Consider the following 27,595-nt stretch of genomic DNA (forward strand, 5'->3'; position numbering starts at 1 on the left):
GCTCAGGCTTCCCTTACTGGGCAGGGAACTGGGTGAAGATAAAGGTTGAAAATGCTCTGGGGTTACAGAGGAAGCCCAGAACTTCAGTGCATGGTAAGGAAGTTCTGCCCTGCATGATGGTACCTGGGCCAGGAGATGTGTGGAAGCTGCAATCCAGCTATGAGCCCTGTTGTTGGGGTGTGTCCACCCCACCCACAAGGTGGCAAAGGTGCCATCTGAGCTAGCAGTACCCTGGGCCCATAGTGGTGGACCTTACCAAGGAGAGGTTTGGGACTGGTGCCATTTAACAGAATTACTAAGGTTTTTTTGTTGTTGTTGTTTTTGTTTGTTTGTTTGTTTCGGAGTCTTGCTCTGTCGCCAGGCTGGAGTGCACTGGCACGATCTTGGCTCACTGCAGCCTCCACCTCCCAAGTTCAAGCAATTCTCCTGCCTCAGCCTCCCAAGTAGCTGGGATTACAGGTGTGCACCACCACACCCAGCTAATCTTTGTATTTTTAGTAGAGACGGGGTTTCACCATGTTGACCAGGATGGTTTCAATCTCTTGACCTTGTGAGCCACGTGTCTCAGCCTCCCAAAGTGCTGGGATTGCAGGAATGAGCCACTGCGCCCAGCCAGAATTGCTAAGATTCTTACCAGCACTTTGCTGTCAGACCCACCAGAGCCTACCCACACACAACCTCAGCCAGCTTACACTTCGTAGCCAAGGATGCTGGAGCCTGTGGGGAGGGTCAGCTTGGCAGGGAGGGACCTTCAGAAAGATGAGGATGGAGATCACAAAGCAAGACACCAAGGAGGCAAGAGGGGCAGGAAGATTCAGGAACCTTTATTGAGTGTCCTCAGGGAAGGTGTCTGGGGCCGTGGAGCCTAGTGCTGGACTCTCCGGATGGACTGCAGCTGCCCAGTGTGGGCCTGTGTGCCGAGCTCACCGTAAGTACAGAACTCTCCGCTGTGCCGGTCCCGCTCCAACACATACTGGTAGCCTCGGTAGCCTGGGTACTGGTAGGCCACCCACCTAGGCCAGTGAGGGTACAGAGGCAGGGAGTAAGCTCTGCCCCCACCCCCACCCTATGTTCTCCACCAGCAGCCCCCCTTTTGTAGCTCCCAACCCCCAGTTCCAAAATCATTGCTTCAACTTTCCCTCCGTGGCTCTCTCCCTCCCCTGCCCACTGCTTCCAGTCTTTCTGTCACCGTTCTCATCCAGTCTTCTATACCCACCCCTTATTTCCTCCACCCCCTCATGTTCTCCAGCCCTTCATCTGTGCCCATATTGCCCGCTGCCCCCCATTCTCCTAGGACCTCCTCATTTCCTCCCTTCCAGTCTGACTCCATCATCTCCCTCCCCTTGCCTCCAAGTCCCCAATATCTCTCTTAGCGCCCTCCCCACATCACTTTTCTCCACCCTCTTCCTTGGTCCCCATTGCCTCCCTGCTCTTCTGTCTCCCTGGTTCCAGTTCCAGGACTCACGCTCCGGAGCTGACTTTGAGGGAACCCACATCCTTGCTGGCCCAGCCCATGGAGGGCAGGGATGGGTAGTCATCAACGAGGTCAAACTTGCAGCCTTGGAAGTTGTCCCCCTCAAACAGTGTCACACGGCTGTCATTGTGGTTCTGAGGCACAGCAAGATCAGGACAGAAAGATCAGGGCTTCCAAAGGGTTAACGGATACATCCTCTGCCTCACTTCCCCCACCCACTGCACCTCACAAGCTGTGAAGCTGTCTAGGACCCACAGGCACTCCCAGAGCTCACCCCATCAGCTCCCTGGCAGTCTGGGAAATGGATCGCTCAGAGGTTCCCCCGAACCTGGCCCCTCCCATGACTTTGAGATAAGGAGGTGATTGGGGGATAGGATTTCCAGAGACCCTTTCAGGTCAGGACTAGAGAGCATCTTGTGACATGGGCCCATTTTGCAGGAGCAAAATCAGAGGTCCTTAGAGAAATCTGTCCCATTCACCAAGACAGTTCCCTGAGGTCCTCATTGACTAACTACCCAAGCCCTTGCCCAGCCCCTTCGCACAGCCTCTCACAGATTAGTGCCCAGCTAAGAGGTACTGGGTGGCAGAATCAGAATAGACATGTCAGGGCATCAATACTGATTGCATCTTGGCTCCGGCCTTCCCACTGCAGGGTTCTTCAGCCTCTTGGAACAGAAGAATTGGGCTGGCCTGGGCTGGGTCCTCTGCTCTCCACTTCCCAGCCCTACTAGTAACCAGGTCGGCACAAATGGAAAATGAGGTCCTCTCTTTCGGTGTATTTGATTCATTAACAACACCCTCACACACACAATAACACACACACAAACACACTGAGACTGACTCTTTTCAGTGACCCTGGGCAAGCCACTTTGTCCCTTTGAGCCCCATTTCCACACCTGTGTATGGGGCTAACAGCAGTCAACCCGACCTCACATGGCTGTGTGACGACAGAGGCACTCACTCACACGTGTGGACGATGGAATGTGGGGGAACCCTGGGCACTCAGGACTGGGATGGCCTCAGCGCTGTCCGTGGTGATGATTTCTGGGCTCCGGGCCTACGCCCACAATCCCAACTTTCTTGGAGACACCCTTCTGATTCTGAGAAATAATGCTACTACCACCCATCTCGGAGTTTGTTTACACACACCCCATGCAGGGCTTGAACAGCCTTTCTAGGTGCCATGGTGAGGCCAGGGCCTGGAGCTAGGAGGCAGGGGAGGAGAAGTGGGCTGTGCTCACCGCGCAGAGCACTGGCCGGAAGGACAGCAGCTGGTTGCTGTTGTGGCTGCTGCTGCCACTCCAGGCGCTCCAGCGAGGATAGTCTCCCTTCTCCAGAATGAACTGCTGTCCCTGGAAGTCGGGGTACTCAAAGGCCACCCAACTGGAAAAGGAGAAGAGCTGGGAGGTATCTGCCCCAGCCGCACCCTCTCTGCCCTCCCCCTTGCCGGCCATGATTGAAAAGACTGAGAAGCACAATGTTTTTCTCCAACCCCAAACCCTTCCCCTGACACCCCCATTGTATGGCAATCCAGCCCCTCTCGGAACTAAAGGTCCAAAACCTGCTGCTTTCTGGGGTTTGAGGCGCCCAGGCTTCCCCCTCAAGGACCCCAGGTTGGGAAAGAGTTTTCCTGGTTATGAAGATCTCCCGACCCAGTGCTCCTGCCTCAAGGGTTTAGGCCTTTGCATGGGGACACATTGGAGGACCCCTCCCGAATATCACAGCAGAAACTGGGACCTCAGCTGGGGCAGGGGTAGGGGGCGGCAGGGTGGGAAAAGCTGGGCTCTGGGAGACCAGGGTGGGGCCAGGGAAAGGGATTGGGTTTCTTTTGTTAAGCCAAGTGCAGAGCCTTCTAATTTTGCACAGAGAAAAACTCTGGGAAGGGTGTAAGTACACTAGAAACCCCTTCACGGTGGGGTCCCATAGGGACCCTCAAGGGGTCGCTTCTCGCCTGTGTCTCTTTAGCTAGCACAAAAATACACAGTTTCCCATGATTTATCTTGCGATGGGTGGGGAATTTTGGGGAGGCTATGGGGTTTCCCATGTTGGCAGGTCTCTCCAGGGCTCACAGGACAGGGGGCTGAGGCTCTGAGCCTAGGCCGGTGGAACCCAGCGCCCCTCAACCCAGCCCAGCCGCGGCCAGGCAATCACTCACACGCCGTTTTCCACCTTGACCGAGCGCACCCTGGGCAGGCCTCCGCGCTCGCAGACGTTCGCACAGTCGCTTAGCAGCCGACAGCGACGGCCCTGGAAGTCCTCCTCGTCCCAGAGCGTGAGGCTGGCGGGCGCCGGGCCCGGCGCGGGGGCGCTGCTCATGCCGCTGCGGACAGGAAGGGTGGCACCACGCGCTCAGCGTCTCAAGAGCCCCGTTTCGAGCCACACACAGCCTGCCCAACCTGGGTAGCGGATGAAGAACCCGGGGGCTGGACCCGGCCTAGCTCTGGACCCGGCTGCCAGGGGCTCGCAGTCTTCCCGCGCTCCCCTCCCTTCCCCACCCCAGCAGAGGGCATTCACCGGGTGGGTGAGCGCGGCACGCGAGGGAAATGGACCGGCTGCGAGGCTGCGCGCGGCCGGGCGGGCCGAGCTTTATACCTGGGCCTTGTCCCCCTGTCCGCACCCTTTCCCTCGGGGGTGGGGTCGCTGAGTCAGCAGGCAGGCTGCGGTCGGCTCTGGTCTCCGCTGGGGAGCCGAGGCCTCTCCCGCAGCCGCCGCTGTGGCCCCAGCCCGCGGGAAAGACAACAGAAAGTGCTGAGGCGCGCACCCCGCGCCCGCCGCAGCCCAGGCTGACTCCGCGCTTTCTTTCTTTCCAGCCTGAGCCAGGCAGGGCACGCCAGGCCTCGGGGCAGAACGCGCCCTCCCTGTCCCGGCCCTCGGGGACGAAGGGACCTGGCCTCCCCTGGGCCTCGGGCTAAGACCGCGCTGCTGACTCGCTGAGCGGAAGTTCTTCCCAGAGTCTAATCGCCAGCCTTCCTCGGCCCTAGTCCAGGCCTCTCTTTTGGGCGATGCTAAGGCGGAGGTAGAGAGGGCTCTGCCCAAAGGATTCGCTTCATGTGCTCAGTCCTCTTTTTCCTGGGGGATCGGTCCATCGCGGCCCTTTTCCTCCCAAGCGTGCGTTCCCAGATCCTGCGCCGCGCCCCCGGGGTGTCCTCGGGCCCGGGAAGGAGAGGAGGCGGTGGTCAGGACTCGCCACGCGGCGGCGCCGGGCGCTGGAAACGACCGCCCGAGGGCCGCGCGGTTTACTCAGTGTTTAGGCATAATAGCCACCTAGGGAGTGGCTCGCCGCGGGAGGTAGGAAGAATGTTGGGCTTTAGCTCGGCTCAACCGGTGCCGCTGCGGGTCTCCCACAAAGCTCCAGGCTCTAAGGGTTCCAGCCTCGACGTCTGCCTGAGAGTTAGCAGCTGAGGATGAAGCGCTTAGTTCAGGCCGAGTTCTCTGCTCAGGCTTTCGGGTGCGTGAACTCCATCAATTCTAACACTGACCTGCTAGGAAGATACTGTTATTGTCCTGCATTTCGCAGATGAAGAAGTGGAGGCCCAGAGGGCTTTGGAATGTGGTGCAGGGGTCACAGCTAAGAAATCTCCCAGGGCCGGGCGCAGTGGTTCACACCTGTGATCCCAGCACTTTGGGAGGCCCAGGTGGGAGGATCTCTTGAACCCAGGAATTTGAGACCAGCCTGGGCGACATGGTGAAACCCCGTCTCTGCAAAAACAAACAAAAATTAGCCGGGCGTGTTGGCATGCGCCTGTAGTCCCAGCTACCTGGGAGCCTGAGATGGGAGAATTGCTTGAGCCCAGGAGGTGGAGGTTGCAGTGAGCCGAAATCAAGCCACTGCACTCCAGTCTGGGCGACAGAGTGAGCTGGGAAAAGGCGGCGGTGGGGGTGGGGGTGGGGGGTGTAGAGAAAAGGGGAGGTAGAGGGGGAAGAGGAAAAGGTTGGGAGCTCCAAAAAGGTTGGGAGTCCCAAGGGGTAGCTCCAGGTAGGAAATTTCCTCACCACTTGCAGTGGAATTTTCTAACCACAGCAAATGAGACACAAAGGCTTCTTGCAAAATTGTAGGTTTTCCTTAATGGTGGTGGGTGCGGGTGGGGATATTCCAGCAGAGGTGAGAGGGGCGAGTGAGAAGGGAGCTAATATTTTGTTGCTTCCATGAGTCACATGCTTCCCTTATGGGTCCTCACAACAGTCCAGCGAGTTAGGTTTGTGTGTACGGTTATGGAAGCGGAGGGTCAAAGAGGTGCAGGGCCTTGTCCAAACTCACATGGCTAGCCAGTTTCAGAGCAAGAATCGAGCTCAGACCTTTGGAAGCCAAAGCCTGTGCTCCGCCGCTGTCCATTGAAGCTCCCGTGCCAAAAAGTGCTCACAGGCCAGCTGCGGACACCCCAGCTCCCAGAAGCCTTGCCACACCAGCCTGCCTTCTAAGCCTTCTTCCCAGTGTTCCATACTCAGCCCATCTCAGAGCCTTTGCATTTGTTGTTCCAGCTACCTGGAGTGTCTTGGTCACAAGATCGTGGCATGGCTGGCTCCTGTGTCACCTCCTCAGTGATGCTGTTCTAGGCACCCTTCCATCCATCACATCAGCCTTTTTCTTTCTAGCATTTATCACGCTGTAAAGTTATCTTTTTCATCTTGTGTTTATGGGTGTAGCAGCATCTCCCTTACCAGAGTGTAAGCTCCATTTGAAGGGGCAGGGACTGTGTTTTGTTCTCAGTTGTTATCCTCAAACCTAGCACAGTGCTGGATGCATAGTAGGCACTCAATAAAACTTCTTGAACGAGTGAACGAACAAGGTGGTCAGGCGTGGGCCAAATGTCCACGGGAAAAGGGGTGTAGAGAAAATTCTCCAATGGAAGTTGGCGGGGGGGTCTTGGCAGCTTGCTCTCCCACCTCTGAAGTTCTGGGTTGCTGAGAGCAGGAGCTGGGGGCAGACAGAGGATCCCTTGGGCTCTCTTTTCCCTGGTGAGGAGTTACTGTTGGAGCTCGCAGTGTGTGTGAAGATGGGTGCCAACAGTACAGGGCCCTAGAACTGGGCATGGCGGTAGAGTCCGAGTGAGGAGGATATGGGTCAGAGATGGGACAACCTCAGGCAGGTTTGACTGGGGGTGAGGTCAGAACAGTGTCCTGATTCCCTACCTAGCGGGGGTTTGAACAAACACAAACCTCAAGGAGGGAATACAAACCACAGAGTGGGGCACGAGCCAGTTCTGGACCCTTGGTGTCCCAGTCTTTGCCTTCAGTGTCACCAGCCCGGGCAGGGGTGAGGGGTGAAGAATCAGATCTCGCCTTCCCTCCTTCCCCCATCTCTATCCGACAATTCTGGATTCGGCCACCAGAGGGCAGGAGCAGGCCGCGCTGGCCCGAAAGCTGGCGCGGAGGGCGGGGTGGAAGGGGAGGTCCAGGTCGGGAGGGGCCGCGGGCGCGGGTGGCTAGTGCGTCAGGCTGTGCGTCTGCGCTGTCCCTGACGCGGACGCCAAGTGTTGGTCAGAGGGTGTGGGGGTGTCTGTCGGAGACTGGACACTGTGCACCGAGCGGGGCTGGGGGCTGGACGTACTCTCGAGGGTCGGGCTCCACGCGTGGGTCCCACGGCGGCATTCTGCAGGAGTGGTGCGTCGCGCCTTTTCCAGGGTTAGGGGAGGAGGAAAAGCGGGGAGGCCGTCCAGCCGAGGTCCAGGTTAGAATTAGGAGTCCCGCTTGGAGTTGGGGAGTGGACCCCGTGTGTGAGAAGGGCCCCTACTCCTCCTCCAGTGTGAAACTCTGGTCTTGGCGGCAGCCAGCCTCTCCCCTTCTCTACCTTGTCCCTCCCCGTGGAAATGGTATGGAGGTACCCCCCCCACCCCCTCACCCATGACTTCTAGTTCTAGTAACTGCGACCAGCTCTCTCAGAAATGGGCATACCCACCACCGCCACCCATAGTCACTGGCCCAGAAGACCTCTAAACATCTCAGGGTTCCCCTAACGCCCTCAGGCCCCTCCTGACTTTAGGCCTCACAGTTATCGCCAAAGAGAAGAACCACTGAGGGGAAGGGGCTTCGAGGCAGCCCTGCCTACTGTGCCAGGAGAGGACTCTGGGATCGATAACCCCCCTTGGGTACCACGGACCCCCTACTGGTCTCCTCCTTTCCCTACCAGGCTGGTCCAGCTCTGCTCCTCTCCCCAGCTGCCATGCCGCCCACCCCCCCCACCCCTAGCAGCTGTTCCTGTTTGTTTTCCCAGATCAGTTGCGCCCAGAGCTTCCTGAAGGATGGGTGCCCAGGTGGCTTTGTTTGCCAGCTCAGCACAGTCACCCCTACCCCCTCCACATCCACAGCCTGGCCTTGGGGCATGGAGCGGGGAATTAGGTAGACAAAAACCAGAAACCCCAGTGGACACTTCACAGAGCCCTCAAAATCTCACAGAGATCTTATCACCCTCAGGGCCCCCACCCTGACCTCATTCAGTTCTCCATCTCACACTGGGACCTTTGAGTCCCACAAGGAAATCCTCAGGACCTCACCCCATCCCTAGCCACCATCTCCTGCCCTCTGATTTCACCGAAACCCCCATCCCATACAGACCCATAAGATCCCACAGAGAATCCTTTGAGCCTAAGTCCCCTCCATGAGGCCCTCACATCCCACCCGGACTCCCATCCCATGTGGGGACACATAGATCCCGCAAGGAAGCCCTCAAACCCACTCCTAAGCTCCTGCCCAATCTCCGTCCTAGGCAAAGGCCCTGAGAATCCCAAAGAAGTGGCACCTCTCTCACCTAGAGCCCCACCCCAGGAACAGCCTGACTGCTCAGTACTGCTGGGCAGCGGAGAGGGGCTGGTGGCCAATGTCCCCTCCTCGAGCGGGTCGCCTCCCAGCCCTCCCCCCTCGTTTTACTGGGAAATCATCCAGGGGTTGGGTACTGAAGATGCAAATTCAGGGAAGGGTGCCTTCCCTCACCCTGCCACCATCACCAGCCCCTCCTTTCCACCCCTGCTTCTCTGGCCCCCGCCCCCACCCCCAGTCTGGAGCCCAGAATCAGCAGATGAGCACCTTCCCTGGGGCTGTGCAGGACTGGTCTCCTGGGAGACAGAGATAACGGGGTACAGAGACCAGCCCAGTTTGGGCCAGTTAGGAGTCCCACCCACACAGACCCATTGTTCTATCCCACTAGAAACAGAGCCCCTCTCCTCTGCCCCTCAGTGGGGTTAGAGAACTGGCCACCATCCAGGAGCTGGCAGGCAGCTTTCACCATCACTCACACACCCAGACACAAAGCCACAGGGGTGACATAGGGTGACAGGGAGAGGGCACACACAGACACGTTCAGTCAGATGGAGACAGAATCATCCACAGTTCCAGGCACATAGATGTGATCCCGCAAGCTTCGCATGTGAATAGTCTCATTCTAGGATTCCATAGAAACCTCAATGTCATATTCATGTATGGCCAGACACTTGGTCACTCACTTATTCCTCAAAGATTTAATACGATGTACTATGTGCCACGGACTCTACTGGGCACTGGACTCACACACGAATATGTCCCATCACTTTCACATGTGCACATACCCACTTCACAGTCACCCAGGAAGGCATCAGCTCAGCCACCCACGCAAGGTCATACAGACACCGAAGGGTGAAGAGAGTGGGTTAAGAGGCTGTTGTGATTATTTAAATGCATGTAAAACAGAACAGGCCTGCAGTGGCCACCCAATAAATGTCCGCCGCCGCTGTTGCTGTGGTTGTGGTTATAACTGGCTCTGACACACCTGCTTCCCACCACCCCTGGCGCTCGCCTGGTTGGTGGGTGGTCAGGCTGCAAGCATGGCTCTGGGAGCTGTACCCTCCTTCTCACCCTGGTTCCTGGCAGAAGCCAGCCTAGTGCTCAGGACGGAGCGCCTTCCTGCCTCACCCTATTTGAATCACTCCTCAGTTCATGACCTCAGTTTGGGAAGGTTGGGAGGGTCAGAGAGGAGTGTGCCAATTTCCTTTGTTCTTGCTCAGGCCTCTGCTCTCTAGGAAAAAATGCTTGGGAACCGAGCCGAGGACCTGGCTTCTGGAGTTGGTGCTTGTCCTGGCGCCATTTGGGGATTTTGGTCAGTCAATCCCCTCTTAAGGCCTCTGTTTTTTACCTATAAACTAAGCTGGCTGTGGGTCCTGGAGGGGCCTCCCAGCCTTGACTCCTGTGATGCCTCTGGAAGGTTCCTTCCCCTCCCTATCCAGCGTATGCCTGCCCCACCCACCCACCCGTCTGGCCTAGCCAGAATGAGGGGGCGAGTTGCCATGGTCTCCATGGGGACTAATCTCCAAGAAGGTCAGTGAGGCTCTGGTACTGCCTTGGCCGGATGGGGATTAGCACCTGGGTGTGAGCCTCCCCCCTGCCAGCCAGTGCCTCCACTCCCAGGTCCCTCCACTGTCACACAGACCCTGGGCGGCCTCTAAGCCCAGAAATTCCAAGGCTAGGCCAGAATAATTGGGGTGGGTGGGGGCAGGGCAGCTGCCATAGCTGTTGGCTTGTCCATCTGTGGCCAAGAGGGAAACTCAGAGAGATGGAGTCAGATCTGTGCCCCTCACTGGCCCCTGGTGTCCAGCCACGGCCTGGGCCTTGCCCCTCCCTCACATTCTGTCCTTTAATGGGAGGAGATGGGCTTCCAAGATAAGGGTATCACCCTCCCCCCACCTCCAAACCTGTCTGCCACCTAGAAATCACCTCTTTATCCTTTGCTGGGGCTAATTCCCACCCTAGTTTGGGGTGGGATGGGGCTGTTTTGCAGCTTCCCCCTTTCTCCATACACACGATGCCTCCCGCCTCTGGTCCCCTGAGCCCTAGCCCCATGAATCCACATCCCCAATCTCTCTCAGCGTACATCTCTTGTTATCTTGAATTGTCTCCATGTGTCTCTCTCTGTTCCTCTTCCCTGGTTTCTCTCTGGTCATCTCTGCCTCTGGTCTCGCTCTCACAGTCTAGGGTCTGCAGCCTCTGCAGCCCCTGGGATCTCCCCTGTGTTCTCACACCCCTCTTTCCTTCAGCCTATGCTCTTGGTCTCTTTCTCATCCTTCTCCATTTCTCTTCTGCTGTTTCTCAGCTGCTGCACTCCAACCGCTCAATCCCTTTTCCACTTCCCCCACTACCTGGTCCCTCCCCCACCCAGGGTGCTGACAGGGACGACAGGAAGCAGGCTCCAGCTTTGAGCAGGAGGGGGAGGGGGCCTGCCTCGTACAGCAGCTGCTGAGTGCCCCCCTCCCCATGCAGCCCCGCACCTGCAGGCCTGCCCGGCACTGGGAGACCCCGCCCTGTGGCAGCGGAGCAGCGGAGGAGGGACCTGGATGAGAGGCCAGATCCCTGGTAATGGCCAGCAACTGCAGTCTTAGGATGGATAGTGGGTGGGGGACTGGGGAAATTAGGCCCTGGGGTGAAGGGGCAGTAATTCTCAGTCACCAGGAAAGATCCCCGCCCACTGGGTGGCTGCCTCCTTCTCACCACCCTCCCCTCAAGGCTGTGTGTGTGTGTGTGTGTGTGTGTGTGTGTGTGTTTGGGAGGGGGTCATTCCAAGCAGAGATCTCTTTGTTGTGCAAACCCAGGATGTGGAATCCTGGCCCCTGACATGGTTGGGGAGGGAAGGGGAAGCCCTCAAAGACACAGGGAAGGTGCACCAGGACCATGCCAGGCCCCTGACAGGCAAATCTTTCAGTGCCAGGCAGAGTAAAGGGCTGGCCCAGGACAGAGCCTGGTCAGGGGGGCCAGGAGAGGGCTGCACACACCCTAGCCCAGGACCCAAGGACCTTCCCCTGCCCCTGGGGCTGCTCCACGAAGAGCCCTGCTGTAGTCCACCCTCTCCCTAAACCTGCCTGGGATCTGTCCAACGCCATCTCGCCCCTCCCCCTTCTCTCTCTGTGCCACGGACTCGGGCTCAGCAGATCCTTTGGGGCCTCTGGGTAGTTGGGTGACATAGGGGCACTAGAGCGGGTGGTGGTGGAGGGGACAATCCAGCACCTCTAGGAACATGCAGTTTGGAGGGACTTCTGACCCTGGTTCCCATCTCCCGGGGCTGCCTCTGCCTGAGCTGAGGGCCACCTACCTACCCCACCCCAGCTGATGGAAGCGAGGATGTGGGATTCTGAGGTTTGAGGAAGGTGGTGAACCGCTGTGCCTGGGGGCTTGTCCTTTTCAGTCAGTCTGACTGTCTCAGACGTTTTTAGACTGAAAGAGGGACCAAGGGAGTGTCAGGGAGTGACATCTCAGGATGTCAGCAGCACCACAGAGATCCGAGGAGTGGATTTGAGGCTCCATGGTGGCCCTCAGCTTCCCCCGCCCAGATTTTCCACACCTCAGCCTTGGCTCCAACTCCGTGAGGGCCTGCATCTTCCCCAGCATGACCAGGAGCCCAGGAACCGGGACAGGAGGCTGGGGAGGGCCTAGCCCCTGCGGGAGGCCAGACCAACCGTTCACTGAGCAAATGGGAAAACCAAGAGGCCGGGAAATGACTTGCCCAAGGCCATAGAAGTCGCGGGGACAGAGGCGGACTAGAATCCGGGTTTCCACCTCCAGAAGGGTTTCTGTTCTGGGCCACGGCCCCCTTCGCCACCCGCTGGAGCCGGCTCAGCCCGTATTACGACGCAGAATGGAGCCTGGCAGCCCAGAAGCTGCGGGCAGGGCAAGGCAGGGCGGGTGGGGCCGGATGGGAGCCGGATCTCCCCTGGAGCGGCGCACAGCCTCTCCCACCCGTACGGTTGAGATGGCGGTGGCGGTGGCGGCGGCAGGTGCCTGCGTGGCGATCAGGCCGGCCCCCGGGCTGGTGCTGAGAGGCCGCCCCTGCCTCACGCGAGCCGAACGAACAAAACGCTCAGGTCCGGTTTGTGCGAGGGGCTCGTCGCGGGGCGGGAGCGGAGGGCCCGGGGCCTGGCGGTCGCCCTCGGTGATCTCCTGGTCCTGGTCTTCCGCGAGCTCAGTGCTGCACAGCGCCCCGCTAGCCTCCGCCCTCACCTGAACGCATCTGCGGCTGACACGTCGGCGGCCGCGGCGGCCACCGCAGGTGCGCACCTGGCCCGCCCCTCCTTTCCCAGCCACCCTCCGCCCGGCTTTCCTGGCCCCTCCGCCCGGCCCAGCCTAGCTTGGCTTCGTCCCCAGCCCACGCCTTGGAGCTTGTCCCGGAGCCCGGGCTCCGTGTGCTCTTATACTGCCTGTTCAGTCCCCGCCCCCAGACACACACACTCACACCTGTCCAGGCGCCCGTTTGCTCGGGGCAAATATTGACTCATGGAGGCGGAGCGCTCCCCCCTCCCCCGCCCGGGCTCTGAGACCGGAGCTTCTCCGAGGCCTTGGTGGCGGGGGCGGAGGGGAGGGTGCTGGGGACCCTGGGCGCCTCTGGAACAACACCAGATGTCACTTTTCCACCCACCTGCCTCTGGGAGGGAGGAGCCGAGAAGCAGAGGACAGAAGCTCCCGGGCGGGGGTTAGGAGGAACCGAGAGGTGGGTATCCATCCTCGTCTGAGGACTGATTCACAGTGGGAGTCGCTTAGCAGGGTCTGTGGCCCGAAATCCAGTGGTGACCTCGACCCGCCCCAGCCTAGTTCCTGGCCCTCCGCGGCGTGCCTCAGTTCTTCCTCCCCAGCCTCTTGGGCACTCGGAGCTCGGCAAATGCTAAGGGGCTGGCCCTGGGGGTGCTAAGCCTCCGAGCAGGCGCGGCGCGGAAAGGTGAGGGGTGGCCGCCCTGCCCAGTGGACACCTGCTTCGCTGGCCAGGCCTGGCACTCAGTTACTGTGCACCAAGGTGCGCTGGGGCAAAGGCCAGCCAGGCCCCGTCCGGAGCGCCCTCCACTGGCCAGACCCGGTCCAGCGGCCGGCAGCTAGCGGCCAGGTCTCAGTCCAGCTGCAGTGTGGGCGGAGAGGTGCATCCTCCCGGGCCCTAAGTTCCCGCCGCGCCTCTGCAGTCCGCCCGGGCTGCTCCCTGCCATCCTTCCCTCTCAGAGCTCGCGCGCGCGTTCCCCCTCGTCGGGGAAATAAAGTCAAGGTAGATACAGAAAAAAGACTAGATGCTTTTACTGGCGGTGGAGAGGGGGCCAGGCGTGACCCCTAGCGGCATGTCGGAGAGGCTGGGCGCGGGCATTTACGGAAGGTCGGTAGGAAGTGGCACCACCGGGTGGAGTACCTCTGCTTGCTGCGTCGGCAGCAGCGTGTCCGGGGTCAGACTCCTGGAAGACAAAAAGTCCCAGGTAGGCGTGGGGGCGAGGCTTCGGGCAGAGCCTGGCTGCCCCCGTGGCCCCTCTCGCGCGGTCTGCGCGGCCGCTGGTCCCGGCGCCCTTACCTGGGCACGCAGAACGGCGGCAGGGCGATGACGCGTGGCCGCGAGGTGAGTACCACCTCCCCGCGGCTCGCCTCCACCAGGATGTTCTGGATCATGTTCTCCAGCAGCGCCTCCTGCAGGTTGGCGAAGGCCGGGAGCCTGCGAGGGGGCGGGGGCTAGCATGAGGGCGGCCGCAGTGCCCGCGCGCCTCCTCGCTCGCCTGTCCGTGCGGTACATTGTGCCGCGAGCTCTACGGAGATTCCCATTCGACTCCCCTCATCCACTACACTATGGGGCATTCTTGTTTCAATGTTACGGACGTTCCAAGTGTGGCTAAAAGATTCCAAGTTGCCAAATATGCTGCTGGTTTAAGGGGTGGGATTCAAACCCAGGCGATGTAGTAGGCATCTCAGGGCCAAGTTTAGAGAAAGGTAGGGAAGTGATGAGAGGGCGCAGAAGGGACTGGGTGGGGCCTAGGGAATCCCTACAATGACATAAATCATCTGTAGGGCAGCCCCGGCGGGAAGTCCCACCTGCAAGACAGGTGGTCCTTTTCTGGCTCTAGAAGCCCATTTACAAGACTTTGCAGACTATAACAATTCTCCTGGTAAGTTGGTAAATGTCAACAACTAGTTCTTAGAGAAAAAAGAATAAAGTTCAGTGTTGGTGCCGGGCGGATACTCCCACAGAGGCCTTAAGCTACCAACATGACCTCACTAAGCACTGAATTAGGATGAGATGTGCATACAGGCAGCAGCCATCCTTGGCATCCCACTGCCTCCTAGGAACCTTCTGCACTTCGCCTCCCTCCCGTCCTCACTGGGGCCTGGCTGCTCACCTTCTGATGGCCTCCTTCTCGTCCTGTTCTTGCTCCTCCTTCACCATGACATTCAGCTGCTGTTGCCACTGCCATTGCATGGACTCCTGGGACTCAGGCTGTGGTGTGGGCCCGATGCCCGCCCAGCTCACTTTCTCTTCCTTCTCATCCCTCTCCTCCTCCTTCTCCTCTATCTCCTCCTTGCCCAACTCCTCCTCTTCTGTCTCCTCTTCTTCCTCCTCTTCCTCCTCCAACTCTTCTTCTTCCTCTTCACCCTTCTCCTCCTCCCCCTCTTCCTTCTTTCCCAACCCTGGATAGTGCTCTGGTCTGTCTTCCTTCGGCTGCTTGCCCTTCCCATCCTCCCAGCTGCTGGAGGGTACAGGCAGGATTGGCATTAAGTACAGGCTGTTTTTCTGGTCCATGAACTTAGTTGACTGCTCATTCCAGAATTGGCGGAAGTACGGCACCTGCTCCACCAGGCTTTGGTCCACAGCCTCATGGAAGTTCTTGTCTTCCAGCAGGCCCCTAGGTGGCAGGGAGAAGGAGAAGGCCCTTGCTGAGGGGCCCTGAAGCCCCTGGGGAGCCCTGGCTTCAGAGCTAGGTTCTAGGTGGGAAAGGGGCTGCTAGGTGGGGAGAGGGGAGCCCTTGGTCAGTTGTTCCTCCTGTCCCTTCTTTCAAGGAAGACATCTTTGAGCCTCATGGATTTTTAGAAGCGAACATGGTATGCTGGAGGCAGGGCAGGTCAGATTCACACACATGATGGGCAGGAACCCTGGGGAGATAGTGGACTGGCTCCAGACTCATCTGCCAGCCCTGGAATGGGGCAGAACTCAGGATCCAGACCTGAGAATCCCTCCAGCCAGCTCCATCAGAGCCCCACTGTCCTGGGGTGGGGGGGCCGGGGGGGGGGACCGTGGTGGGATCTTGCAAAGAAGTTCTGTTTCTTTTTTTCTTTTCTCTCTCTCTCTATTTCTCTCTTTCTTTCTCTCTCTTTCTCTCCTCTTTTTTCTTTCTTTCTTTCTTTCTTTCTCTCTCTTTCTTTCTTTCTCTCTTTCTGTCTTTGTCTCTTTCTTTCTTTCTCTTTTCTTTTCTTTTTTTGAAAAAAAGCTCTGTCTCCCAGGCTGGAGTACAGTGGTGTGATCATGGCTCACAGCAGCCTCAACCTCTCAGTTAATTAAGCTAATTAATGGTCTCAAGCAATCCTCGCACCTCAGCCTCCAAAGTAACTGGGACTGCAGGCATGCACCACCATGTCCAGCTAATTTTTGTATTTTTTGTAGAGATGGGGTCTTGCTATGTTGCCCACGCTGGTCTCAAACTCCTGGGCTCAAGCCACCCGCCCACTGCTGCCTCCCAAAGTGTTGGAATTACAGGCAAGAACCTCCATGCCCCACCAAGTTCTATTTCTCAAGAAAGGAAGAGTGCTGGAATGTAAGGGGCTCTGGCTGAATGAGCTGGAGGGATGCGAAGGTGGCAATGAGGGCCCAGGGTGTGAGCTGGTACCTGATTATTGTGGTGAGAATGTCAACCAGGAGCTGCTTCTTCTGCTTGGAAACAGGGCCCCACTTGTTAGGGGATTTTTCCTCAGAAGTCTCTGACTCTTCCCTGGGGGCCTTCCTCTTTGGCAGCTCCCTGTGGCAGCCATGACATTCTGAGTGGCCTGGGCAAGCCACCATGCTGGGGTTGGGGGCACAAGCAGTGGTGGTAGCTGCCCAGTGATGAGGACACAGATGAGTTTGAGGCACTCCCAGCCTTAACCCAAATGTAGTGCTACTGGGTTCAGAGAACCAAGCTCAAACCCTCAGAGTTAGCACGGGAGCTAGAGAGACTCCCAGTTGGAAAAAGAAGGAACAAAGAGGGGTAGGGGCTGCCTAGGTGTGTTCCCCAGGGGGCTCTGGCTGCTTTGTCCCCCTCCTAAAAGGGCCTAAGCAGTAATGGGGCATCCTGGGCCCAGAGGCGCTCAATGAGCCCCACTGCTGCTGCCCATGCTCCACCCCTCACCATGGGTTGGGTCTGGGCAGCCCCTGCTCTGGAGTGGAAGAGGGGACAGAGAGAAGAGGAAGGTGACCCCTGCCTTCCCAAGAGCTTACCGGTGCAAAAAGTGGCAGGGAAACTCTGAGAAGAAGTTAGCCAGAAAGTAGTCGGTGGCATGGGCTCGGGCAGTAAGGCCCAGGCAGAGCATGCCTGGCGAGGGTGGCTGGGGGCAGGGCCAGGACACCTCCTCCTTTGGGGTCTGCAGTTTCCAGCTGGCAGGCCGGCTGACAGACTGCTGGTTCTTGATGGGAGGCAGTGTCTTTGGGAAGGGAGGGACATGGATGACAAGGGTTTGGGCACCACATTCACATCACCAATGGGGTCCCTTGACCTAGTTCCCCCACAGGCTCTTTGGGCCACATAAGCGTGTGACCCCACTCATTGGCACTTTCATCCCTCCTTTCTGGGAGTCTGGTCCAGGGGTTGGAGGTCTCTCTGGGAGCAAGCAAGGACCCTCCCAAGTTGTCCCAAGAAGATGGGCCTGGGGCTCGCCGCCTCACCTTGTACTTCCTCGCAGGTTCACAGGCTGTGCAGCATGTTCTCTTCTGTGGAAAAAGAGAGATCCTTGCTTAAGATACAAGAGGCCCGGCCGGGGGTGGTGCTTCATGCCTGTAATCCCAGCACTTTGGAAGGCCAAGGCGGGCGGATCACCTGAGATCAGAAGTTTGAGACCTGCCTGGCCAACATGGCGAAAGCCCGTCTCTACTAAAAATACAAAAATTAGTCAGATGCGGTAGCACGTGCCTGTAGTCTCAGCTGCTCAGGAGGCTGAGGCTGGAGAATCGCTTGAACCTAGGAGGTGGAGGTTGCAGTGAGCCAAGATGGCGCCACTGCACTCCAGCCTGGGTGACACAGCGAGACTCTGTCTCAAAAAAAAAAAAAAAAAAAAGATGTGAGAGGCTAAAGAGACTCCCCCATTTTGATCCTCTTGCTGCCCTCTTGGTCCTGCCCAATTCCCAGTCACATTTTCCTCTAGAACCTTCCCTAGAGAAGTGCTGCCTGCAGACCAGGAAATTCTGGTTTCCTGAGTGAAGGAAATGCCATCAAATGTAGGCGGGCAGCTCCAAGGGAGCTTGCCCTCGTGCCCTGGAGCTTTGTGGTTCAGTGAGATGAGAAATCAGTCTCCCTCATTAAGATTTAATTCAGAAATTCCTTCCCTCATGCCCCCAAGAAGAGTTTTTTTTGTTGTTGTTGTTTTTGTTTGTTTTTTTTTCTTTGTTTTTTTTTTTGACAGGGTCTCACTCTGTCACCCAGGTTGGAGTGGAGTGACCCCATCACAGCTCACTGCAGCCTCAAACTCCTGCACTCAAGTGATTCTCCCAACTCAGCCTCCCAAGTAGCTGGGACTACAGGTGTGAGCCACCACACCCAGCCAGTTTTTAAAATTTTATTTCTGTAGTGGCAGGGTCTCACTATGTTGTCCAAGGCTGGTTTTGATCTCCTAGGCTCAAGCAATCCTCATGCCTTCGCCACCCAAAGCACTAGGATTACAGGTGTGAGCCACCGCGCCTGGCCTTAGGAAGTAATTTGTATCCACAGTTGGGCCACAGCTTCAGAGGGGAGCAGTGAGTCTCTGGGGGTTCAGTGTGGCAGACACCAAGGTGATTGAGGAGCAAGAATACCAGTGTAGGAAGGTTGTGAAATTGGGGGAGGAACCAAGAAGGAAGTGTTGTCTCGTGTTTATTATCAGACCCTCCCCCTCCCAAAACACATACTAATAGCTCCCATTCAGTGAGCGCTTCCTGGGCGCCAGGCACTGTTCTAGGCACTTCACTGGTATTAACTCACTTAATCCTCACAACGTCACAAAGCAGATATCTCACTCACATTAAAAAGTATTTTTAGACTTTTATCTTTTTTTTTTTTTTGAGACAGAGTCTCGCTCGCTCTGTCGCCCAGGCTGGAGTGCAGTGGTATGATCTCCGCTCACTGCAACCTCCGCCTCCCGGGTTCAAGCGATTCTCATGCCTCAGCCTCCCAAGTAGCTGGGATTACAGGAACCCGCCATCATGGCCGGCTAATTTTTGTATTTTTAGTAGAGACGGGGTTTCACCATGTTGGCCAGGCTGGACTTGAACTCCTGACCTCAAGTGATCTACCCGCCTTGGCCTCCCAAAGTGCTGGGATTACAGGTGTGAGCCACCATGCCCAGCCTAGACTTTTATCTTTAACCTTTTTAATATGGAAAATTTCAAACGTATACAAAAGTGGAGGGGATGCTACAAAGAACTCTCCGTTGCCCATTGCCCAGCTTCAACAACTAGCACCTCATAGCCAGTCTGGTCCCAGCTGTGCCCCACCTCTGGATTATACTGAAGCAAATCCCAGATGTCACAGTACCCACCCCCACTTCTTACAGCTGAAGGAACTGAGATGTTACATAGGTTGACTGAGATCACAGAGCTAGAAATCATTAACTCCAGGAATGAAACCTGGGCAATCTGTCTCCAGAGCCTGCCCCTGAAGCCACAGTGTCTTCCACCAGAAGGTGAACTCTAGGCTGGACACAGTGGCTCACGCCTGTAATTTCAGCACTTTGGGAGGCCGAGGTGGTCAGATCACCTAAGGTCAGAAGTTCGAGACCAGCCTGGCCAACATGGTGAAACCCCATCCCTACTAAAAATACAAAAATTAGTCAGGTATAGTGGTGGGCACCTGTAGTCCCAGCTACTCAGGAGGCTGAGGCTGGAGAATTGCTTGAACCTGGGAGGTGGAGGTTACAGTAAGCCACTGCACTCTAGCCTGGGTGACCGAGTGAGACTCTGTCTCAAAAAAAAATAAAAATAAAAATAAAATGTGAGCTCTGCTTGTCTCCCCTAAATCTCCAGTGTGCAGCACACAGTAGCCACTCATTAAATGCTGGCTACACGAGGCAGGGAATGGACAGCCAGCCTTCTCTACCCAGAGAGCCTCTCCGGATGGCTGTGGAGATGCTAAGCTGAGTCCAGTGAATGAAATGTAATCTCTTAGGGCAGGCTGGCTGGTTTGGCCTGGAGGGCCACCTTGGCCCACTACCTCTGTCCCCTCTGGTAAGGCCAGTCAGAAAGATCTGGGTGTTTGAGATCTACTCAGCCCTCCTCACCTTCACTTTCATGTCGGTGATGGTGAACTCCACTTCCTGCCGCACCTTCTCGTCCTTCCACTCCTGCAGCTCCTTGTGATACTGCCTCATGAGCTGCTGCGAGTACAGCTATGGCCCAGGACAGAGAGAGAGAAGGCCAAGGTCTGGAGCTTGCCCGGGGCCTATGCTGTGAGCCCTCTCCCTTCCAAGGGCTGACTTCTGCCTTTTGCTGGGGTCTGGGGATCTCACAGCCCATCACACCCCACCCCAGCATTGGGAGCCATGCCTCCATCCCACTTTACCCCTGGGGCTGGTTCCTACCTTGCATACCAGGTCTGCACTGTAGAAGCTGGCATGCACAGAGGCCCTCAAGGTCACCACAAATGGGACCGTCTCTTCAGGAGCCACCACCCCTATCATGGGACTCACAGACACCTGTTGATTTGGGGAAGGAGTCTCTGGAGATTCACAGGGATGGAATTGGATAGGATGGCACGGAATAGGATGGGATGAGATGGGACAGGATAAGATGAGATGAGACAAGATGGGATGGGATAGGATGGGACAAGATGGGATGGGATGGGACAAGATGGAATGGGATGGGATGGGATGGGATGGGATGGGATGGGATAGGATGGGGTGGGATGGGGTGGGGTGGGGTGGGGTGGGATGGGATGGAGTGGGGTGGGATGGAGTAGAATGGGGTGGGGTGGGATGGGATGGGATGGAGTGGGGTGGGATGGGATGGGATGGAGTGGGGTGGGATAGGGTGGGATGGGATGGAGTGGGGGGGGATGGGATGGGATGGGGTTTGTGGGGTGGGATGGGATGGAGTGGGGTGGTATGGGATGGGGTCAGGTGGGGTTGGATGGGTCTGGAGCTCTGATGGAGGTTCCAGGGCTCAGGGGACTCTCACCTCCCCAAAATCTAGAGGACTTGGCTGCCAGGAGAAGGCAATTTCCTCGTTCTTGGAGATGTTGTTGAGGAAGAGCAGGCGGCTGCACTTGCTCTGCACAGGTATGTTTCCCAGGGAAATATGAGACTGGGACAGGAAGACATTCTGTGGGTGGAGAGCGGAGGTAAAGAAATAAGAACCGGCCAGGCATGGTGGCTCACGCCTGTAATCCCAGCACTTTGGGAGGCCAAGGTGGGAGGATCACGAGGTCAGAAAATCGAGACCACTGTGCCTGGCCCTTTTGACACCTTTCAACACCCCCACTCCTATGCCATCTCTTAACATCCTCATCCCAGTGAAGAGGGTGGGATGGAGGGCCCTGAGGCAGGTGGAGCGGCTTGAGCAGGAACACCTGTGGGCACTAGGTGGCAGGGTAGACCTCTCATGGAGCTGGTGCTGCCTCCTGAATCTGGAGGAGGGTGAGTTCCAAGGTCTCATCTCTGCCTCTGTCCCTCCTCAACTACATCTCATGTCCCTCCCAGCCTCCCCATCCTTCTGTCTGGCCACCCTGGGCTCTGAGGCTCTCCCACAAGGCCTCAGGCCTTCCTAGCTCCCCTTTCCCCACCTGTCCAGGCACCACCAGCCTAGAGTGTATGGAACTGTTGTCCCACGAGGAGATGTTGTGGAATGGGGCTGTGTCCCCCATCATATGGGGGTTGTAGCCCACTCCCTGGAAGTGGATGAGGGCCGAGTTCCATCCCAGGATGTGTATGGGCACGTCCACCTGGGGAGTTAGGAGGGTGGGGGTAGGGACTGGTCAGAGGGAGGCCTGCTGAGGAAGCCAGCACCACCCCACCTCCCACGTCATCCAGGTTGCTGCTCACCGTGTAGGTCTTGGCCTCGATAGGTGAGAAGATCCACAAGACCCGGGCAGTGCTGCCTGGCTGGATCTCCCCTTTGGGGTTGAGGCAGCAAAAGATGGGGTGATCAAAATTTTTTTCCTGAACCTGTGACAGGACATCGGTCTGGACCTCATATGTCACGGGCACTGAGCCACCATTATACAGCTCATAAATCTGCAGGGGGCAGGAATAGGAAAATTGCCACATCAGCTCAGCACTGCAAATCAGAAAGCCTGGGATGCTGTGCCCACTGTGGGAGGGCAGGCTGATCTCCATGATGTCACCCTTTGAGTCTGTGAGCTCCCGTGTGGCTTGATCACTCGAGAAGTATGTAACTGTATGGTCAGCCGGTGATATTTTAGGATAATCTGTAATCTTATTTGTAAAGGAGTAGCTTATTTTATTTGTCTTCAGTTTAACTTCATCAAGTTTTTTTTCTTTTTCTTTCTTTTTTTTTTTTTTTTTTTTTTGAGACAAGGTCTCACTTTGTCACCCAGGCTGGAATACAGTGGCATAATCATGGCTCACTGCCGCCTTGACCTCCTGGGCTCAAGCAATCTTTCTACCTCAGCCTGCCAAGTAGCTAGGACCACAGGCATGCACTACCACACACAGCTGCTTCAAAAATATATATATTTTTTAGAGATGGGGTTCTCACTGTGTTGGCCAGGCTGGTCTTGAACTCGTGGCCTCAAGCAATCCTCCCACCTTGGCCTCCCATATTACTGGGATTACAGGCTTGAGCCACTGCGCCTGGCCAAGGGAGTTCTGCTTAAAGGCAAGTAAGGGGGCGGAAAAGTCTGAGGGACTAAAGACCAACTCCAAAGGTTGGGAATCATAGAATGTCCTAGAAGAAACCAGAGATCTTCTGATCCAATCCTTCCTTTTAGAGATGAGAAAATTGAAGCCAGAGAGAATAGAGTCCATCTGGATTCAGTCCCAGCCCCTTTTCCCCTTTCTGAGCACTCACTCCTGAGCATGCTGACTCTATTTCTCTAGCCTGGACCACCCTTTGAGCTCCAGACCTGGTACTATGGGTTAAATGCTTGTGTCCCCACAAAATCCATATGTTGAAACCTAATCCTCAATACAATAGTATTAAGAGATGATCAGGAGGTGATTCGGCCACAAGGGCGGAGCCCTCACAAGTGGGATTAGTGCCCTTATAAAAGAGGCCTGTGGAAGCTTGTTTGCTCCCTCCACCATGTGAGGACACAGCAAGAAGCCACTGAACCAGGAAGTGGGCCCCCACCAAACCTGCCCATGTCTTGATCTTGGGCTCCCCAGCCTTTTTAATTAAGATAAATTATAATAAATTAAATTACAATAAATTATAATAAATTTGTGGTCTTTATAAGCCACCCAATCTATGGTAACTTGTTTTAGCAGCCAGAATGGACTAAGACACTTGGTGTCCACCTTCTACCTGACAAGCCCTCTTGGTTGTCTCATTAGCATCTCAAACTTGGCCAGAACCAAACTCTTCATTCTAAAGCCTATTCCTGCTCCCAGTTTATCTCCTTTTAGCAAATGGCACTATGTATTCCCAGTAGCTCAAACCAGCTTCACTGTCACAGACCCTAGTGGGGCTGCTGGGAAGGCAGAGGGGTAGCGGGTGGGTATGGAAGTGAACAGAGTTGGGGATAGGAAACTCCCCTCTAGATCCAGGAAGCCCATTCCTTGGCCTCTAGGGTGAATGGCTGGAGGCCCCTGCTCAGAAACACATGGGCTTCTAAATGATTAGAAATTGCACAGCTGTGAAATGTTTGGGAAAATATTATGTCCCCCTCTTGGAGATTACCAATCTACATTTCCAGAGCAAGGAAACTGTATTGCCTTCAATCAGTAAAGAAAGAAAGGTCTAAAGCTTCCCAAGAATTCACATTCTAGTTCTTCACATTCCAGAAGGACATCCTTTTTGGAGCAGTGATTTTCAAATTGTGGCTAAGACCTACTGGTGAGCAGATCTAAATCAATGTTGTGGGTCATGCCCAGCATTTAAAAAATTGGACAGAATAGAACAAAAAAGAAAATATCAGTATACTTTGCATGTAGTAGTATAATTATCAATTTGCAGTAATTCTACTTTGGTTGTATGTTTATGTATATACTGGGGTGTAAGCATATATAACATCAAATATATTAGTATGGTTCATGGTCAAAGAAGTTTGAAGAACATTTTGCTAAAGGAAAAAAAAATCCTCATTTTTTAATTGGAACTGGGCCTGGCAAAGGGCTTAGCACCAGGAACTAGGACACTGCAGCCTCTCCCTTCAAGTCTCTCCCAGTTGCCCAGTCTGGGGGTTCAACCTGCTGGCCCAGCCCCTCAATGCTTCCAGAGGGCCATGTCTTTGTCACCCTCTCAAGGGCTGACACTCATACCTAGAGATCAACACTTAGGCCTTCTTGGTCAACAGGACAATGTGGACCACTGACCTGCCGTGGGGGTAGCGTGTCACCAATGGGAATGGGGATGAACTGGTGGGTAGTAGAGGTGAAGTGCACATACTTCTGCTCCGGCTTCACTGTCACACCTATGAAATTTAGCTGGAAATAAAAGTTCCCCCGGAGGAACTGACACAGCCAGTGGAGATCTGGACCCCAGTTCCCCAGGAGAACACAGCTCCCTGCTCCTGTCCAGCCAGCCCCCTCCTCCAGCCTGAAACTAGGGCAGGGCCAGTGTGCTGGGGCCTCACCAGGATCTCCCGGCCATGGGACACCTTGAAGAGCACTGGGAGGTGATCAGTACCGATGAACAGGTGGCTAGAAAGAAACAGATAAGTCTGGGAGTGAGTTCTGGAGCCCTGGTACAAGTAGGAGAGCAAATGGACATGACATTTCTGTGGCTTTGAGCTGGCCAGCCCCTGGGAGCAACTCGCCCTTGAGTTGGGATGGGGCAAGAAGGAAATTAGACCTCCTCTGCAGGTGAGAAGGTGGTCCTCCCAGGGAATGGCCATTTGGGGTGCCCTGGAGTCATACAATGAAATGCCCGGGGTAGGGGCCTCTATGACTGGAAGTGCAGGGGGTTTGGGGGGTGGGGAACACCTGTATTTTAACTCCACCATCTGCTCCTGCCCAGGACTCAGGCTCCCAGCCTTGGGGCTGATGGAGAAGAGGCAATTGTCCTGCACGCGCATCTGGTGGAGCTCAGTGGAATTCAACTCTGCTTGCTCTGCCCAGAGCTCCACGTCAATCCGCTGGTCACTTGGAAGGAGGAAGGCCCTGGGAGAGGGGTGCAAAGCCATACAAAGAAACTGGTCAGGCAGAACAGAGAGGCAGGGGCTCTGAGACCCTGATGGGCAGGTGGAGGCTTCTTCCATGACTCCCGCACTTCATGCACCCATTTGGCAAACTGTCCCATGTGTGCCTGAGCAAATGTGGCTGTTGTGGATTCTCGTTTCATAATGGCCCCAAAACCCAGGAACAGACTCTGGGCCACGGCGACTCAAGAAGTGAAGAGTGGGGCTCCCACTGTGGATGCCAGGAGTCAAGGTGTTGCTTGAATATGGGGGCCACTTTGAGCTGGCCATGAACCCTTCTGTGACAAAGCTCTTGGGAAAGGGCCATTTGGGACACCTAGGAAGGCTGGCAGCACCAACCAGCAGCCCCAGGGAGTGGGGTGTCCAGGCCAACTTGGGCACAGGGTGGAGAACAGATGCCCCAGCAGGGCTGGCACTCTTGAAACAGAAGCAAGGCTGTGCACAGAGTTAATGCCCCTGACATGCCTAGGACTGCGGTAAAGTAGATAATGCACCTTAAGTAGCCGACAAAACTAGTGACAAAGGGTCCTGAGGTCACAATCTGAAAGGAGAACCCATTTCACTCTCGGAGATGGCACAGAACTGGTTCCAGCTGCAAACCGGGTGGAGGATACGATAGGGAGCATCCAGAAAAGGAAAAGAAAGTGCCCAACACACACCTGAGAGAAAGCGCACAACGCACACCTGAGAGAAAGCACGCAACGCGCACCTGAGAGAAAGCACGCAACACACACCTGAGAGAAAGCACGCAACACACACCTGAAAGTGCGCAACACACACCCGAAGAGAATGCGCGCAACAAACACCTGAGAGGAAGTGTGCAACGCATACCTGAGAGCACGCAACACACACCTGAGGAGAATGCATGCAACACACACCTGAGAGGAAGCACGCAACACACACCTGAGGAGAATGCATGCAACACACACCTGAGAGAAAGCGCACAAAAGCAACCTGAGAGAAAATGCACAACACACACCCGAGGAGAATGCGCACAACACACACCTGAGAGGAAGCGTGCAACACACACCTGAGGAGAATGCACGCAACACACACCTGAGGAGAATGCGTGCAACACACACCTGAGGAGAACGCGTGCAACACACACCTGAGAGAAAGCACACAACACACACCTGAGGAGAATGCACACAACACACACTTGAGAGGAAGTGCACAACACACACCTGAGGAGAATGTGCGCAACACACACCTAAGGAGAACGCGTGCAACACACACCTGAGGAGAATGCACGCAGCACACACCTGACGGGAAGTGTGCAACACGCACCTGAAAGAAGGCACGCAACACACACCTGAGAGAAAGCACACAACGCACACCTGAGAGAAAGCGTGCAACACGGGCCTGGAAGCCTCAGTAGGAGTCAGGGAGGCCTAAGTCCAAACCCTCAGAAGGAACCAGTCTTAACTTTTTTCACATCTGAAGCATGAAGAATAGTAATATTCAACACTGGTAAGTTCAGAAAGAACAGACTCAAACATAGGTGGGTGGAGAGGGAACTGCTCAACCTCTTGGACGGAAGTTTGGCAGCTTATGCCCTTTGACCCAGAAGTGTCTGTTTGGGAAACCAATTCATAGGAATAAAAGCACATATGTGTGCATGCTTATGTGCACGCAACGCACACCTTTGTGTGGATGTCTATCACCACTTTCTTTGTAGTGGTCATGAAAAAAAAGCAGCTGGGAACAATTGGAGTTTCCAATAGAGGAGTGATTTAACGATTTAAAGTCCATCCATATTGTGGCATATTATACAGCTATTTAAAAGAATGCGTTAGATATATGTATTGATCTAAAGGAGATGTTATTGATATAATGCTGAGTGAAAGCATCATTATTCCTGAAAGTAACAGATATAGTATTGGGCCATTACTGTAAAAAAAAAGGAAAGAGAACCGCTCTGTAAATATGTGCGTGTCTGTATGTTGTGCAAATGCTGAGTGTGAAAGGCACATTCCGAATCCTCATCACCCTAGCAGCTGGACTTGGAGAGGGGGCTGCGGAGCTTCTTACTTTTTTCCCATAGCTCCTATGTTGTCTGACTTGTTACAAGTGAGTAAACCACTGTTGTCATTTTATTGTGGATATTCAGCAGTGGCAAAATTGGAGACCTTGCTAGTTTGGGGTCCTTTAATATTTCAGCCTCTCCTTTGTCCTCACTGCCTTCTGCCCTGGTCCAGTCTCCCTCCTTTTTTTTTTTTTTTTTTTTTTTTTGAGACAGTCTCACTCTGTCACCCAGGCTAGAGTGCAGTGGTGCAATCTCGGCTCACTGCAACCTCCACCTTCCAGGTTTAAGCAATTCTCCTGCCTCAGCCTCCTGAGTAGCTGGGATTACAGGTGTGCACCACCACATCTGACTAATTTTTGTATTTTTAGTAGAGACAGAGTTTCACCATGTTGGCCAGGCTGGTCTCAAACTCCTGACCTCAAGTGATCTTCCCACCTCGGCCTCCCAAAGTGCTGAGATTACAGGCGTGAGCCACCAGGCCTGGCCCAGTCTCCCTTGTAAATAATTCCAACCCCTTTCCCTTCCAGCCCTCTAGCGTGGGCTTCTATGCCATCTTGCACCCCTCTATCTGGAGAACCACAACGGCCTCCCAACATGTCCCCTTGCCTCAAGCTGCTAACCCATTCTCCTCCAGAGACCAGTGTGACAGGTCTTGAAAGCTGATCCTGTCTTTGCTCCTAACTCCCCGATGCCCATCCCATGATGTCCTCAGGAAGAAGTCCAAACTGTCTGAAGAAGGATTCAAAGGCCCTGTATGTCCTGGCCCCTGCCCGCCTCCTCAGCCTCTTCTGAGACTCTCCACCCGCTGCTCCAGCCACGCGGTGTACACACCAGGCCCTCTGTCTGGAAGGCGCTTCACAACCTTTCTGCCTT

The 27,595-nt window shown here is 55.6% G+C and overlaps 2 protein-coding genes, 1 long non-coding RNA gene and 1 other non-coding gene across 19 annotated transcripts in view, besides 3 other annotated features; 1 reads left to right on the forward strand and 3 right to left on the reverse strand.

Annotated features, from left to right (window-relative positions):
* On the reverse strand, positions 804–4,036 carry CRYBA2 (crystallin beta A2). Of its 2 annotated transcripts, NM_057094.2 has the most exons (5): positions 3,989–4,036; positions 3,630–3,794; positions 2,716–2,857; positions 1,466–1,608; positions 804–1,013 (listed from the first exon to the last, which is right to left on the reverse strand). In NM_057094.2, the coding sequence occupies exons 2-5, from the start codon at positions 3,788–3,790 to the stop codon at positions 866–868; spliced, it is 594 nt and encodes a 197-aa protein (NP_476435.1). In that variant the 5' UTR covers positions 3,791–3,794; positions 3,989–4,036; the 3' UTR covers positions 804–865. The 2 variants fall into 2 exon arrangements, with proteins under 2 accessions (NP_476435.1, NP_476434.1); NM_057093.2 differs by having other exon boundaries at positions 3,630–4,036.
* Positions 6,716–6,895: a silencer, noted in NCBI's record as "silent region_12339". NCBI's record gives its function as "represses an Ori minimal core promoter by ATAC-STARR-seq in GM12878 lymphoblastoid cells {active_cell/tissue: GM12878}" and the evidence as "EXISTENCE:reporter gene assay evidence [ECO:0000049][PMID:35858748]".
* Positions 10,175–11,158: an enhancer, noted in NCBI's record as "H3K4me1 hESC enhancer chr2:219864283-219865266 (GRCh37/hg19 assembly coordinates)". NCBI's record gives its function as "activates a minimal SCP1, AML or CMV promoter by ChIP-STARR-seq in naive H9 embryonic stem cells {active_cell/tissue: H9 hESC(naive)}" and the evidence as "EXISTENCE:reporter gene assay evidence [ECO:0000049][PMID:30033119]".
* On the reverse strand, positions 12,259–12,322 carry MIR375 (microRNA 375). The gene has a single exon (NR_029867.1). It is a non-coding gene; the product is annotated as a microRNA 375 (primary transcript).
* Positions 12,601–12,895: an enhancer, noted in NCBI's record as "tiled region #4963; HepG2 Activating DNase unmatched - State 4:PromP". NCBI's record gives its function as "activates a minimal TATA promoter and a strong SV40 promoter by Sharpr-MPRA in HepG2 cells {active_cell/tissue: HepG2}" and the evidence as "EXISTENCE:reporter gene assay evidence [ECO:0000049][PMID:27701403]".
* On the forward strand, positions 12,829–26,336 carry CFAP65-AS1 (CFAP65 antisense RNA 1). The gene is made up of 3 exons (NR_046086.1): positions 12,829–12,914; positions 20,571–20,656; positions 24,516–26,336. It is a non-coding gene; the product is annotated as a CFAP65 antisense RNA 1 (long non-coding RNA).
* Positions 13,460–27,595, reverse strand: part of CFAP65 (cilia and flagella associated protein 65) — a 38,706-nt gene continuing 24,570 nt past the window's right edge. For 13 of the 15 annotated variants that reach the window (XM_011510915.2, XM_017003753.2, XM_011510908.2 and 10 more), the window contains 14 exons: positions 24,482–24,658; positions 24,133–24,199; positions 23,873–23,983; positions 21,419–21,610; positions 21,160–21,318; positions 20,556–20,699; positions 19,961–20,074; positions 19,661–19,768; positions 17,079–17,123; positions 16,635–16,837; positions 16,048–16,221; positions 14,566–15,069; positions 13,749–13,886; positions 13,460–13,635 (listed from right to left, as the gene is read on the reverse strand). In XM_011510915.2, the coding sequence (XP_011509217.1) occupies positions 13,551–13,635; positions 13,749–13,886; positions 14,566–15,069; positions 16,048–16,221; positions 16,635–16,837; positions 17,079–17,123; positions 19,661–19,768; positions 19,961–20,074; positions 20,556–20,699; positions 21,160–21,318; positions 21,419–21,610; positions 23,873–23,983; positions 24,133–24,199; positions 24,482–24,658 (2,221 nt within the window). In that variant the 3' untranslated portion in view covers positions 13,460–13,550. The remainder of the gene's footprint in view (positions 13,636–13,748; positions 13,887–14,565; positions 15,070–16,047; positions 16,222–16,634; positions 16,838–17,078; positions 17,124–19,660; positions 19,769–19,960; positions 20,075–20,555; positions 20,700–21,159; positions 21,319–21,418; positions 21,611–23,872; positions 23,984–24,132; positions 24,200–24,481; positions 24,659–27,595) is intronic. The other 2 variants (NM_194302.4, XM_011510910.2) reach the window with 1 other exon arrangement.

The sequence above is a fragment of the Homo sapiens genome, chromosome 2 (assembly GCF_000001405.40).
Source record: "Homo sapiens chromosome 2, GRCh38.p14 Primary Assembly".
Taxonomy (NCBI): Eukaryota; Metazoa; Chordata; class Mammalia; order Primates; family Hominidae; genus Homo; species Homo sapiens.

Coding starts and splice junctions, on each gene's coding strand:
- CRYBA2 (NM_057094.2), bottom strand. CDS start 3,790: ATGAGCAGCGCCCCCGCGCCGGGCCCGGCGCCCGCCAGCCTCACGCTC. Junction 2,858..3,629: donor GTCAAGGTGGAAAACGGCGT/GTGAGTGATTGC, acceptor CTCCTTTTCCAG/TTGGGTGGCCTTTGAGTACC. Junction 1,609..2,715: donor TCCGGCCAGTGCTCTGCGCG/GTGAGCACAGCC, acceptor GCTGTGCCTCAG/AACCACAATGACAGCCGTGT.